Source organism: Homo sapiens, chromosome 2 (genome assembly GCF_000001405.40).
Source record: "Homo sapiens chromosome 2, GRCh38.p14 Primary Assembly".
In the NCBI taxonomy this organism is placed as follows: domain Eukaryota; kingdom Metazoa; phylum Chordata; class Mammalia; order Primates; family Hominidae; genus Homo; species Homo sapiens.
The window spans coordinates 144,861,372-144,877,697 of NC_000002.12; the positions used below are offsets into that span (position 1 = coordinate 144,861,372).

The following is a 16,326-nucleotide window of genomic DNA, read 5'->3' on the forward strand; positions in this document are numbered from 1 at the left end:
TGTTTTTAAAAATGAGGCAATGATGTCTTTTTTTTTTTTTTTTTTTTTTTTTGAGATGGAGTCTTGCTCTGTCGCCCAGGCTGGAGTGCAGTGGTGTGATCTTGGCTCACTGCAACATCCTCCTCCAGGTTTCAAGTGATTCTCCTGCCTCAGCCTCCCGAGTAGGTGGGATTACAGGTGCCCGCCACCAAGCCCAGCTAATTTTTGTATTTTTAGTAGAGACAGGGTTTCTCCATATTAGCCAGGATGGTCTCCATCTCCTGACCTCATGATCCACCCGCCTCGGCCTCCCAAACTGCTGGGATTACAAGCGTGAGCCATTGTGCTCGGCCCGGCAATGATATCTTTCACATAAATACATGTCAAAAAACTGATTTGGCCAATTTTGTGATCTATTTCATAGCTTCAAAACTATTTTCATGTACATTTGTTGATTAATTTTTTCAATTAACCCCATGAGATGAGTGAAATTAATTTATTTTACAAGCCGAGTACAGTGGTTCACACCTGTAATCCCAGCACTTTAGGAGGCTGAGGTGGGTTGATCACCTGAGGTCAGGAGTTTGAGACTAGCCTGGCCAATATGGTGAAACCCTGTCTCTACTAAAAATACAAAAAATTAGCCAGGCGTGGTGGTAGGCACCTGTAATCCCAGCTACTCAAGAGACTGAAGCAGGAGAATTACTGGAACTTGGGAGGCGGAGGTGAGTATAATCTTTTAGAAAGTGGATGTATCTAGCACAGAGTTATATTTCATGAGTGAATAGCAGTAGACTAAATTATGTTATGATTATGTAGACTCTGACTCTCAAAATAAAATGTAGAATTACCTAAAGGCTTTTCTTCATACAAATCTTGTATTCTGTATGACATTCTTTTGAATGATTCTGATACAGGTCCCTATTGGACCCGATAATCTTTATAGATCTTTTTACTTCTAATATTGAGAATATGCTATTGAAATGATGGTTAGAGTTGTTATAGGTATATGACTGATAAATTCATAAATTTTCTAAGATAAATTTGAACGATAACACTGCAGCGGTAACACTCTAACGGTAACACTGAAGTAATTAATGATTCCTGATTTGCTGTCAATTATGTGATAATTTGTTAATCTTCATATCTAAATGATTCCCTTACTCTTTTGTGTATGTTTAATTTTAAAATAGCAGTGAAAACACTCTGGGCTATGCATTTCGGCATGTTTATTACACCTCACAGGTGGTTAAATCTACTTTAACTGCCTTTATCTCTGGATTCCATAGCTTACCCACAGTTTTGACCATGTTAACTTTTAAATTCAGGGGTTTTATTGAATTTTAATTAAGGGCAATGTTAAGATATTGCTGCTCTAAATTTAGCAAACTAGAATGACATTCATGTTTTAACAAAATAATTAAAAACATCTCTGGAGGGTAGCACAGAATGCAGGTCACAAACTGAACATTTATTTACAAATATTGATTAAATTTCTAGTATGTTTCAGGAGCTGAACTCTGAGTGGAAAGCCAAGAAGCAGTTTTCAGTTATGTGTATGATTTTATTTTCTCTTAAAACCAGGAAAAATAGTCATTCAGTGTCTTGGATTTCATATTTACAAAAGGGAAATAACTAAGTAGGTGAGTTTTAAGCACATGGTGTATTTTATAGGTGTTGTAACACTTTTCTATTAATAGGCATATATAACTACTTTTTCCCTTGCTTAGAAGTACATTTCATTCATTAAGTTTGTGAAAACTCTTTAGTTTTATAGGTATTAGCATTTTTAAGAATGAAGCTCTCTTTCCAATATAACAAAATTTTCTAGGTCATAACGTGTTGATAGTTGTACTTCTGTTATCTGTTGATTGAAATAATCCATAGTAGTAAAAGACGATTATCATTTACTAGTAGTGAATTTATATTTTATCAAACCTAACACATTCTGCATATATTTGAAAAATAGCTAATATGTATGAGTGCTATACCATTTATTTTATCCATAGTGTTTTGTTCCCAGCAGCCCACTGAAATAATGGGCTTTTCAATGGAGGTGAATATGCTGATTGTCACTACTGTAGGAAATATAGTTCATTGTCTCACTTTTTGGGAGGATTAAAGCTCTTTTGGTTGAAAACAGTTTGGCCTGAAGGTCACATTGGAATCACACAAACCTGGGTTCTGGTTTTGGTCAAGCAGTTACTGGCTGCATAATAAATGACAAGTAATTTAACTTCCCTAAGTCTCAATTTTCTCATCTGTAAATTGGGAATATTGACAACACCTACTTCAGAGGGTTGATGCGAAGGTCAAGTTATGTTATAAATGTGTAAAATAATGTGTATGCTTCCCGGCGCAGACTATGCATTTAGGGATGTTATTGTTGTTATTATTATTATTGCTGTTCTTGTGTTATTCAAGACATAAACTCCACTATACAATAGTGTTGTCCTACTATGATAAGGGTTGGTATATATACTAGTTATTCAATGAGATTGTATGCCTATAATATGCTGAAAACATGAAAAGGTGTATAATTCAGTTAGTTAAAGTGTTTACTGAGCTCCCTTTGTGCTTTTTTTATTATGCAGTTTTCAAGATTGTTTTGGCTCTAGCAAAACAAGTTGGAACATTCACATCATCCAGTAAGTTAGAATTCATTCAACATTTTTAAGCATATGCCATATGATAATTTTAGGAAAGAACAATAGTGCATCTAAAATTAACCTAGCAGTGAAAGACTGAAGTCTTTTCTGAGAACATTAGAGAGTGCATATTTAAGAGATATTAACCAACCTATAGATTATTTTCCCTCACTGAATTGATACATTTCTCAAAGGCTACTGCTTATAGAGTTATAAGGTTTATACTTTTAAATTATATTAAGTTGGTCTAAAGTAGTATTTGTGCCTTTTTATATATATGCCTAGCTTGCCATGGAGCTGGATGAGCCAAATAGGACTCAGATGGAAACAATTAATTCTACAAATAACTGTGGAAGTGGCCTAATTAACTCTGGACCAATGTCCTTCATTTTACAATTGATGAAACTCAGCATATACAGTGTCCGTAGGATAACTTTAATGGTGGTTTTGAAGGAGAGCTGATATTTCTGGGTCTATAGCGTGTTTTGGCCATGCTTTCAAGTGTAGGAAATAAGGGGGCTTGTATCCTGTCTGCTGTGGCTGTGCTGACATAAACCCATCAGGAGAACACAGGAAAGCACCAAGTCCAGCATTAGGAAACATGTTGATTTGATAAATTAATAATGGTGACCACAAAAATTGGAATTCTCATACACTGCTGGTGGGCATGCGAAATGAGACAGCCACTTTGGAAACTGGCTGGTAGTTTCTCAAAAGGTTTAACATAGAGCTACCATAGGACCCGGCAATTATCTATGTAACACTCTTAGGTGTATACACAAAAGAAATGGAAACATATGTCTGCAGAAAAACTAGTGCACAAATGTTCATGGCAGCATTATTCATCATAGCCAAAAATGGAAACAACACAAATGTTCATCAAACGATGAATGAATGAATTAAATGTGATATATTCATACAGTGGAATATTATATAGTCATAAAAACAAATGAAGTGATGATACATACTACCATGTAGATAAACCTTAAAATATTATTCCAAGTGAAAGAAGCCAGTCACAAGAGACCATATACTGTATGGTTCCATTTATGTGAAATATCCAGAATAAGTAAACTCATAAAGACAGAAAACAAATTAGACATTACCTAGGGCTGGGATAGGATGAGGTGGGAGGAAATGGAGAATGACTTCTGGTGGATACAGAGTTTCTTTTTGGGATGATGGAAAAGTTCTAAAACTGATGTAGTGCTGGTTTCACAACTCCGTGAATATACTAAAAAACATTGAATTATGTGCTTTAAATGGCTAAATTGTATTATAAGTAAATTGGATTTCAATAAGGCTGTTATATGAGAAGACAGTGAGTATCCCATCTTGTTTGCCCACAAATCTTATGATCAGTTTCATAAACCAGACTATCCTGAGTATTTTTCAGGTTTCAAGTTCAGAATAGTCGAAACAGGCCTTTTCAAGAACAGTATTCATTGAAATGCATCAAAGCGTAAGTGCAGTCCCTTAAGAAACACTTTAACTCATGAGCTTAAATAATAACCGAATTTAATTCATTCCAGGTACAGTCTCATTAAAGAAACTGCTGGCCAAAATGTTGAAATAAACATTTAGCTACTAAGCGAACAAATTAAACTCCTTTATGATTTAATTGCACCAGTGAGTATTTCTTTTTGGAATGTGTTTCTGCTTTGATACATTGCAATACACATCATGAATTATGTTGAATGATGGCATTTCAGAATGTGTGTGAGTATGTATATGCATATGTATTTTCAAAATGCATCTAAAATGTTATTTAAAATATGTATGCATGTGTACATATGAACATTCCAATTTCTATGTTTATGTGTATGTATACAATACAGAAAGACATATTCCCGTAAGTCCCAAGCAATGTAGTCATATTGTGGGGTATATATTTGCCAACTAGTTGCAAGCATTAACAGAAATATTCTCTCTGCCTCCTCTTCTCTCTACTCTATATACATATGTGAATGTACAATATGTGAATGTACAAATATTTGATAATGTTTATTTATCATGTGATAGACCCACAGTATTTATAGGTGGATATTTTGATCATCATGCATATTTTGAACCACTGGAGCTATTTCGAGGAATTTTTAGAGCTTTGAAAATATACAGCATTTCACTGGTAGATGCATGCAGATTCATGGCAGTGATTATAGAAAGGAATGACTATAAAAAAAAAAACAAAACAAAACAGAATTCAGCCCAAATCTTTTCATACTCCTTCAAATCTCAGTGCTATGCTTTTCAGCTAGTAGCTTCTTTCTCACTGAATTCTTTCATAGTGTTAATTTGAAAAGTCAAACATTTCTCCTCTCCTGTTGATAATCTAATGAGAAATGAGAATTTTCCTTCCAAAAGAGTATTTACTTGAAAAGTATCTGAAGTATTAAAAATTTATTTTCTTTGTGGACTCACACACACACACACACACACACACACACACACAGAATAGTACCTCTATATTTTTTTTTCTTAGCTGATTTTAGCCCTAACCAACCTGGCGGTATATTTATTAACTATATTAAAAATGGTCTGAAGACTCATATCGCCACCTCTTTTTCCTATAGTTGAAAATCACCATTTTGATTATTTTCCTCTCTTACCTCTCCTGAAACAGCACTTACCTCTGCTACTCACAAACCACTCAGAGATAATTATTGTAATTATTCACTTTCCCACAAACGTGTGCATGCATCACTTTCCTATACCTTTGAGTAGGACATGACTATAATTGTGAAATGGTAAAAGATGCTGCTGAAATATGCAGTGAGGTAGGATTTTTTAAATAGCGTTTAAGCAGAAATGTGGTGGCAGTCCTCTTTCTGGCTCATAGGAGTTCTGTTTTCAGCTCAGTTTGTGCCACACAGAGCACAAAGAGACAAAATGCAGATTAGAAAAAAAGAGAGTCTACCTTGTCAAAGGGAGGCACAGAAAGTCAGCCTGAGCAAGTAGGTACATTACACAGACTCCAAGCTGAGGAGCCACAGGTGGTTCAAAGAGAAGGACGCTGTCCTGGGAGCCAATTAATTTACAGAATGTATTGGAGGAAAGTTGAGCTCATTAAATACACCATGGTGGACTTGGTATTTAATAAAATGTGACCACTAGAAAGTATACAAATTTCCTATAAATAACAACAAATGATACACAAGAACAATGCATACTAGTGAGGGTCAAGAATAGTAGCCAGTGGCAGGGCGCAGTGGCTCATGCCTGTAATCACAGCACTTTGGGAGGCTGAGGTGCTGAGGTGGGCGGATCACTTGAGGCCAGGAGTTCGAGACCAGCCTGACCAACATGGTGAAACCCTGTCTCTACTAAAAATACAAAAATTAGCCGGGTATGGCAGCACAGGCCTGTAGTCCCAGCTACTTGGGAGGCTGAGGAAGTAGAATTGCTTGAACCCAGGAGTCGGAGGTTGCCATGAGCTGAGATTGCACCATGCCACTGCACTGCAGCCTGGGTGACATAGGGAGACTCTGTCTTAAAAAAAAAAATGTAGCAGGCTCATAGAGGAGGATCCACAATGGTTGAATCTGGAGAAGCAGAGATGTCCAGCTTGGAAGAGCAATGAGTCTCACAGCTTTCATGCCCAACACTCAGACTATCACTTAGAGATTGCTGAATAGAACTATGATTGGGAGAATTGTATATATTTTTCTGGTTACATAGAGTTGCTTCAGTCTTTTTCATCTGCTATGTTATGGTCTTCATAAAGTGCTGCAACTCCTCATGGAATGATATCGGGCCTTAAATTGGTCGTATATAATTATCTCTTGTTAAGTTTTTGGTTCCTGGGGTGAACAAAATCAGAAAACATGATACTGCCAAATATTGTTTGTGCTACACCATTTGTAGTACAATAGGATGTCTTTTTGCACTTCTCCTACCTGAAAAACTTGTATTCATTTCCTTAAGCTCAAGTGAAATGCCACTTCCTTTATGAAGTCTTCTTTGATGCTTTAGCTGAATTAACTTTGTCTTCCACCATGAACCTGTAACTCTGTAATTCTCTGAAAGCAGTTAACACTGTTTCATAGATATTTAGTAGGACCTGAGATTCATTAAAGGGGCCTCATAGTATTTAGTTTGATATCTGTAGTCATTAGTGAACTTCCTGAACATGGTACATAGACATGGAACCAATAAGTAGAATCTGCTGATTGTTCTGTTTGAGCTTAGGATACAGTGTTCCTTGAGAAATTGCCTAGATTTGCCCAATTCATTTAGTCCCAACTAGTGCTCATTTTGCCATCACTTCTGATCTTTACTTAGAACAGAATATGAGGACATAGCACCTGAAAGTCTAAGGATTCATCCAATAACAAATATTGATATCTTAGAGAAAACTAATAATGTCAGAACTCCCTTTCACTTTTGACATAGGTCAGAGAGAATTACTTACACATCCCTTGTTGTGACCCTTGCTGCTTCCTAGTCTTCTCCATTCACAGGGGAGTTCTCTCATATCTTAAAATCAGCGGTTGTGAGGCATATTTAGCTCATACTTACCTTTTTGTGGTACATTCTTCATGACATTGCCTATGAGATACCCGTCAACTGACAAGTTTTCCAGAAATTTCCCTCCACTCACTCCCTCTCTTCCACATGGCTGCAGCTCAATAGTGGACTAGTCCAGGGATAAGAACTTGTAGTAAGAAATCCCCATCTGGAGATTTGGATTTGGAGCCTCGGGTGGCTGGACCACTATGGCATACGATTCCTCCATTGTCATAAAGGTAGACCATATGGTCTAGGAAGCAGAGGACAGCTCAGAAACAGAGAAGAACTGAACATATGTGCAAAGAAGAGAGGAGAGATGGGACAGAGAAGACAGACCTCATCTTTATAAGTTCTTGATTGCATCTTTTCCCTGAGACCTGGCCACATCCCTAGCCCTAGACTTCATGAGACAGCCCAGTATCTTTAAAATAAATTTTCTTTCTGCACAATGTCACTAAGTTTATATTTCTAGTAGTTGATTATAATGATTTAACTAATTTGCCTTTGTGTAACTTAATGAAGTGGTTAGGAAATGATCATACCTTTCCTTTTCAATCTATCCAGTATGCATATCCCATACTTCTGTGACTGTTTTCTTAGTATAGTCACTCAAAAGCTCTGAGAAATCTGGTTACCACTGCTCAGTGTGCCTGGTCTCTTGATGTCTTATAGGAGACTTAGACTTTGTGACCAATGTCCAGAAGCAGATGAGCATCTAACTGGCATGTACCATGAGCTGACAGCATTATTTCAGTGTTAAAGGGAGTGAGCAATAGATGTATCGTGTATATAAATGTCATCCTCTTTATTCTAAGAGAGATAGCAGTTGGGGTAATTAGTGATATCTTCACTACTGGCACATACCATGGAAGTTTTACCTTAGGGAGTTGGAGACGTTATTTAGGCCCAGAAGAGCTATGGAAGTACCTGAAGACAGAAGTGAGGAAAGAAAGCCAGTGAAGTAATATGGGCTCTGGTAAGGAAGGTGACATATGATACAGGTGTAGCAAAAGGTCAAAATCACAGGAGTGAGTGGTTGAGCAGAAGCTGATAAGTGTGTGCTTGAGAGGAGAAGACCTTGGACTAAGGCAAAGACATTTATCAAGTGTTTTCCTAGCACTGTGATATGTACAGGATAAGAAGTGTGTTTTTATTTCCTGTTATAAGTAAACAACTGTGAACATTTGTCATTTTAACTATTTATTTGTTCAGGGTGTTTTATGAGTACCTGCTGTATACTGGGCCCTGTCTTAACACTATTGTAGAAACACACACAATCCTAACTCCTGTGAGGCTCAGTCTAGTAGGTGATAAATAACGAGTAGAAGTACTGGAGGAAACAAATATTTGATCACACATTATGATGACTGCTGTGAGCACGTGTCTTGAGTCCCCCACATCATAATGCCATCCACTGTTTCCTTTTGGAGTCAAGTATTTTCAGTTCAGAGATGAGATTAAATACTTTGTAAAGAACACCCGGTATCAGTTCACAAAGTTCAAAAGATAACTTCTAAAATAATGTGCATCACTTTTCCTAATAAGTAAACCCAGTAAGACTTCATATATTCACTTGCTTCTGAGTGATTCAGGTTGAAGGGGACAAGAGATACCCTCTGGGTGCAGGAGTGAGCTGGTCTGGCCAATATAAAGAGGATCAGGGACTTGACTCCTGCCTTCTAGAAGTTCAGGCATCTCAGCAATGTCAGAAAGAGGAGAGGGTATTGTGCCTGTCAGGACTGGCCATTTTAAGAAACCCGTATTAGAATGTGATGTCATAAGTTATGTCAAGTCTTATGGCTTAATTTTCCCAGTGGGGATTAATGGGAATGGAGAGACGAATTATTCTGAAGTTAGGGGTTTCAGGTGGGAGGCAAGGACAAAGTGTGTCACTTCCACCGTTGCCCCAGTCCCGACCCTCACCTTTGGCACCAGCACAGTCCTGCAATTACCATCCTAGATTCACCAGGATGGACTTCACATCCTGCAAGATGCTTTCTCAGAAAATTTTTTCTGTAAAGGGCCAGATAATAAATGTTTTAGTTTTTTCAAGCTGTATAATCTTTGTGCCAATGACTCAACTTTGTTATTGGGATACAAAAAAAGTCAAAGATAATATGTAAATAAATGGGTGTGGCTGTCTCCAATAAAACTTTATTTATGGTTACTAAAATTTGAATTTCAAATAATTTTTATGTTTCACAGAATGTTAGTCTTCTTTTGTTTTTTTGCAACCATTTTAAAACATAAAAAACTGTTCTTGGTTCACAAGCCATATAAAAATAGTCAGTGGGCCAGATTTGGCTAGTGGGCCATAGTCTGCTGATCTCTGCCCTAAGCAGTCAATACACATGGTTGTCTGGTTGACTGGCTAGATAATTGTGAGAAATTAGTTGCTATTTAGGCTGAACACATGATGAGGGTATGCATGTGATAAAATAAAAGCCTGTGTAATGACATTCAATTTCCAATATAGAAATAATTATAAAGGACAGAAAAAGTACTTCTAAGGTAGTAATTAATAGGCAAAGCCAAAATGACGCAGAACTACATAATTAATATCAAACTAAAAGATTTCTGAATAAATTCATAGTGCATGTAGACTCACACAATATAAACCATAGCAGTCTGTCCTCACCAAATGGCAGGGACTTTGGTGGCCTGTTAGCTGCTTCTGTGATATCTTGCTCTCCATCCTGATTGATCTGGCTTTGGGAAACAAGGAGCTTCTATTCCCATGTCTGGTTCTCACTCTCTGCTCCCCCACCCAGGCTCATATCCAATTATTTAATTATTTGAGCACATTGGCTGCTATGCTTTCATGTGACTCTTTAGGCAGATGGGATGTCTTTTGCAAATAATTGTATTGTGCTCTGGCATTTTTCATGTTACTATTTTAGGGTTGAAAGAAATTTTTAGCTTGTGATGAGAAAGCATCTTGCAGGACGTGAAGTCATCCTGGTGAATCTAGGATGGTAATTGCAGGACTGTGCTGGTGCCAAAGGTGAGCATCGGGACTGGGGCAATGGTGGAAGTGACACACTTTGTCCTTGCCTCCCACCTGAAACCCCTAATTTCAGAACAAATCATCTCTCCATTCCCATTAATCTCCACTGAGAAAATTAAGCCATAAGACTTGACTTTACTTATGACATCACATTCTAATACGGGTTTCTTAAAATGGCCAGTCCTGACAGGCACAATACCCTCTCCTCTTTCTGACATTGCTGAGATGCCTGAACTTCTAGAAGGCAAGAGTCAAGTCCCTGATCCTCTTCATATTGGCCAGACCAGCTCACTCCTGCACCCAGAGGGTATCTCTTGTCCCCTTCAACCTGAATCACTCAGAAGCAAGTGAATATATGAAGTCTTATTGGGTTTACTTATTAGGAAAAGTGATGCACATTATTTTAGAAGTTATCTTTTGAACTTTGTGAACTGATACCGGGTGTTCTTTACAAAGTATTTAATCTCATCTCTGAACTGAAAATACGTGACTCCAAAAGGAAACAGTGGATGGCATTATGATGTGGGGGACTCAAGACACGTGCTCACAGCAGTCATCATAATGTGTGATCAAATATTTGTTTCCTCCAGTTCTTCTACTTGTTATTTATCACCTACTAGACTGAGCCTCACAGGAGTTAGGATTGTGTGTGTTTCTACAATAGTGTAAGACAGGGCCCAGTATACAGCAGGTACTCATAAAACACCCTGAACAAATAAATAGTCAAAATGACAAATGTTCATAGTTGTTTACTTATAACAGGAAATAAAAACACACTTCTTATCCTGTACATAGCACAGTGCTAGGAAAACACTCGATAAATGTCTCTGCCTTAGTCCACGGTCTTCTCCTCTCAAGCACACACTTATCAGCTTCTGCTCAACTACTCACTCCTGTGATTTTGACCTTTTGCTACACCTGTATCATATGTCACCTTCCTTAACCGGAGCCCATATTACTTCACTGGCTTTCTTTCCTCACTTCTGTCTTCAGGTACTTCCATAGCTCTTCTGGGCCTAAATAATGTCTCCAGTTCCCTAAGGTAATGCTCAGAACGATATGCTTATATCTGGGGATAGAGAGAAAAATGGCAGAAGCCTTGCCACTCAGCAACTCACAGATTAGTACTCTGAATGGCATGATCTCAAAGTGCTACGGGATCCAAAACCCAAATTGGAAGGATCATGGAAAACTCTCAGGATCAAAGGACATATCTGAAAGATGCACAATTCATTGATACCCATTTGGAAGTGCATTTGTTTGTTTCCCAGAAAAAAAAATCTTTTAAACTTCCCCAACTGTATCTTTGGTCATATCTTGGTAGAGTTTTAATATAGTCTTGGATTATTAGTTGAAAGATTGAACATAAAGATTTTTTTTGTTCTCACTGAGCTACTATTTAAACGTTTTATTATTGATGCTTGTGGAAAATGGCAGCAATGGAAAAGCTTGTTCTGATGCCATTCAATCAGTGTCGGGTGGTTCATTTTGAATCAAAATTGAATCAAACCAATAATGATACTAATGAGGGGGATATCAATAGTTCAGATCACATAATTCCTAGTGGTGTTAATACTTTATTTGGGTAGCCAACATGAAAAGGTTTTCAAAACATCTGCAGCTCCCTTTCTGTTTGAATCTTCTATATAGAGCAGTGGTTAGAAAAGTGACCTTTAGAGTCACACAGACCTAGATTCTAGTTCTTACTTGTTCATCACTTGCTGTCTGACCATTGTACATTACTCCCTAACAAAAAATGTCTTCATCTCTGAAGAGGAAAGAATACATTTTCTTCTGTTTTGTAGGATTGTTGGGATACAAGCGTACAAGGTGGTTAGCTTAGTGCCTGGCATACAGTAACATTGAGTATGTATTAGCCATAGTTATTAATAAAAATAGCCAACATTAAAAAAAGACAAAGATGTAAATGAAATATAAAGAATACTTATGTATCCTAATGTCCAGTCCCCCAACAGGAACTTTCTGCATAAAGTCCACTAATCTGCAGTTTCCCTCAAATCTGGCTGCTTATAGAAACCAACTAGACATTTAAAAAAAAACACAGATTCTCTACCTTTATTCTGATCTTTTGAATACGAAACCTTGGCAGTGGCTCTGGGAATTTTCATTAAAAAAAACCCACCAACAACAAAGAAATACCTCCCCAGGTGTGGAAATCACTAAAGTCCTTAGAAATGAGACGATGGTGAAATCTCTCAAAGCATATATAAAACATTTGTCCTTCAGAACATAACACTATTTTGGAAAATGTGGGAAATATATAATATGAACAGAATAAATAAAGGTATTCATGGTAAGGCAACACTTCAGAAAATAGTCTTGTGGTGCCTCTATGTAATTTATGTAAGGCAAGCCTCTCAGTACATAGTCTATATTATCTTTCTTCTGATTAAAACCAGAATTAACCTTTCAACATATTATAATAGGGTTTTGTTTTAGTCAAAATTGTAATTTCTTTTTATGCTTTTCTCAAGTGTTCTATTTTTCCCTCATCAAAGCATCCGCTTTTATTTTACTTTAGACATAAGTCCCAATGTTTCATAGACATGAGCTAAGAACAGTCTTATTGAGAAGAGAGAAACATTGAGAATAATAGGAGTTGTTACACACACAGTAACAAATGAAATACATCTTTTGTAAATAACTCCCACCAGAAATCTTATATTTCCAGGCATCTATGCATATACCTTCATATAACAACTTTTGCGTTCGTAAAACATTCATGGAAGGCAGCTCTGCAGTTTTATAGAAAAACAACGTGCCAGGGATGCAAGAATCTTGCCAGTTCTGTGAAAAATGACACCAATTAAAGCTTAAATTGCTTGTTTTCTCATAAGGTACATATTTTCATAACTTTGAAATCAAATAATTGCTGCTTTTATATTAAATACAATAAAACAAAAAGGATGCTAGTTTAGAGGAACTGCTACAAGCATTTTAATATAATTTTCCCACCATTTAAAGTCACAAAATATGGAAAACAAGTCAAGTATGCAAAGTTCCAAGGAGATAGAGAAACTCCTTCAGATTATTACATCATTTGTCTTTTGTGTCAGGAAATGTGTATATGATTTCATTGTTTGATTAAATGCCAAAAAAAGGCACATTGCTCTTATCTAACTGATTACAGATTTTATTCATATGAAAAAGTATTTGTTAATGCTTTACCATTAGAAGATGTTTTTATTTTTTTTTCTTTCTTAAGTTCTAAACATGCATTTCCAAAAAAAATAATCTTCTAACTTCCCAGGCTTTATTTCTTTATTTTGCGTTAACAGTACATGATACTCAAATTTCCCGTAGTGAAATCCAGTCCCTAATGATTTCATATCTGCAAACTGAACAAACAGTTCCTTTCTGACTGGGTAGAGTGAGTGTGTCTGCATGTATGTGTGTGTGTGTGTGTGTGTGTGTGTGTGTGTGTGCAAGCTCTGAAATATGTCAATTTTAAAAAACATTAGAGAAAATAGTTTTAACATATTGAGGTACCTAAAAATAAAAGGTTTTTGATATGTGTGTCTGGGGCATTACTCTGGGGCATAGTCAGAGAGACAAATACGATTTAAAATCTAAATCAAGTGTTGTAATATGTTTTAATACTTTTATATAGTAATTTTTAAATATACATATGTAAAGCTGCCATTGAGCAGATGAATTATAATTTTCTTAGGCAACATAAAATACTGATTACTAAACTTGTGATATTTAGTAAAAATATGTAAAAGTGTAAAACTGTTGTCACATTGATGGCTTTTATTTGAATCTGCGGGTGCCTGAGTGACAGCTATGGTTTTGGAGAGAGAGATACCATGTGCTTTTCATGGTATAAACTAGCTGTCTGCATTAATAATAAGCTTGTGCTGAAGCCAATTTGAGGCTACATCGAGGGATTTCAAGGTCATTTGCCAATGGCCTGGCCTCCATTAACTTCTTCAGTAAAAGTCCCAATGATCCTTATTTTGGCCTTGAGTGTGGGTTATCAAAATCATCCCTCTTAATATTTCCACATAAATAGCTTGTTTCCTTAAATAGTCATTATGTTCAGTGGGGACAGTTTCTGAAAGCTTCTCAGTTCAATAGAAAAATGCATTTGGAAAAATCTGTTATATTAAAGTATATCTGTATTTGGAGAAAGAAGACTTTAAGAATGCTTTGTGTATTTAATTAGAAGACATTAAGGACAGCTAAATGTTCCCCTTGTCATGGAGAGCATGAAGTGATATAAAACAGTGAGATTTCCAAAATACTGGGACTGTCAGTTTGCTAAAAGACAGGAAAGTGGGGCAAGTAATTATGTAACATTTACATACATATGTTTTTTTTAAAAAAGTATTTCGATTGCTTAACATGTTAAGTACTGAATTTTGATATTAACCCCTTGAGCTTCTTCCTTTACCATGCTCTTTTGGGAGTCTCTGCACCCCTCCAAAAAAGTTGTCATTTACATTAGAATGTGTAGACAATGAAGCACTTTAACAAAGAGGTCTTGGAAGAGATTAGTAAGAAAGACTAAAGAGAAATCGAGTTCTTATTTATTGTGTTATTTAAACCTGAGTTACATTACACCATCTTCCATTTAAGAGGCAGCCTGCTAATGCAAGCAAGGGTGTCTCCTGCAACGAGACAAAGATTAATGCCATGTGTACTGATGATGCTCTACCACAATTCAGAATTCTGTGGCGCCATGACGCCCCTGTTTTATATGGTGGTTTGCCAAGAGAAAATTACTTAAACCAATTGTGAATGCATTCCTTTTTTACTTTTTATACAACCACATTTATGTAAGTAAATAGTAGAATGAATATTTTTGAAATGATCCATCATTTTGAATTCACCTAGTTTGTATAAAATGCAATGTACAGTTTTTTTTTTCTCTTGAAAGAAAGACTTTCACATGGGAATGTTCAATTATTCCCCCTATGAAAAAGATTTCTCATAGACAACCAACCACAACTGGAATAGATTCTTTTAAACATATTGTAATGTGAGAATTTTCTTCAGCTGGAGGGTGTTTTATTCTTTAAATTGAAAGCCGTTGTTCCTCAGAACTGGTATGACATGGTAATGCATGATGTGCTAGTCACTCTTTATATGCAGAAATTGATATGCTTAGAATACATATTAAATATTGAAATGTTATGTGATATTTGAAACTCCTTCAGTGTTTCAGGTTTGTGGACTCTGTAACTGGAGTTACCTGTTGCACATAAATGTGGGGATTGCAAAGTGTGTACAGCACTGCACATTGAGAACCATATCTGTTTCTTCTAGATTCAGCCTAACCTGTTGGTTAAAGATGATGAATTTAACAACTAATAATTTTGGGGCAGTAATATATATATCATAAAATCATCACTTCTCACATTCAACAATTAGCCCAATTTATTCATGAACAGCACCAAAAGACAGTGAATGTTGAAAGTAAAGCTTATTTCATTTCTCCTTGGAGAGTAGTTTCTTCCAAAACAGACCTGAGATCATTTATAGGAGGTTTTGGTGAAACAATTTTCTGGATTCGTTCATTATATTTTTCCAAAGGGGGATTTAGTTTTATCATCCAATGGAAATGTGTATACATGTGCAAACATGCACGCACATTCCTAAAGTAAGCACGTTGCTGGTTGTGATTTCTGGTGAAAGTGTTAAATTAATATGTCAACATTTGAAGGAGGATTTAATTTCTGGTGCTTTTTATCTCTGACCCAAGCAACACTTTGTTTCACTTTTTTCTGTTTCTTTTGAATGATTTGCTTTTTACACTTACTGCTCTGTTTTCTTATCTGTAGAATAAATACTAGTATCTAATTTATAGGGTTGTTTGTAGAATCAAATAAGACTTTTGTATAAAGGACCTAGTGCAGTGCTTAACATAGTAAGTCCTCCATGAAGTTGTTTTCACTCATTTTATTCTTCTTCATCACTCACCCCTTGTTCTAGATATATAAATGATGAATGATGACTTCATATTGGGTCTGAGCCATATGGATTATGCTGTTCCTCTCATGGGTCATGGCCAAACTACCTGATATTCGAGGTCCTTTGTACTTACCATTTTGCCCTAGAGAGAAACTAACAACTAATTCATTAACCCATTAAACAGATATTTAAAGGGTGCTATGTGTACTCATGATTCTAGGTCCTGGAGACAGTGGTGTGCATAGA

General features: G+C 36.4%; 1 long non-coding RNA gene across 1 annotated transcript in view; it reads left to right on the forward strand.

The window, feature by feature from the left end:
- Positions 1-16,326, forward strand: part of TEX41 (testis expressed 41) — a 408,763-nt gene that overhangs the window by 193,405 nt on the left and 199,032 nt on the right. The gene's annotated exons all lie outside the window — the stretch shown is intronic.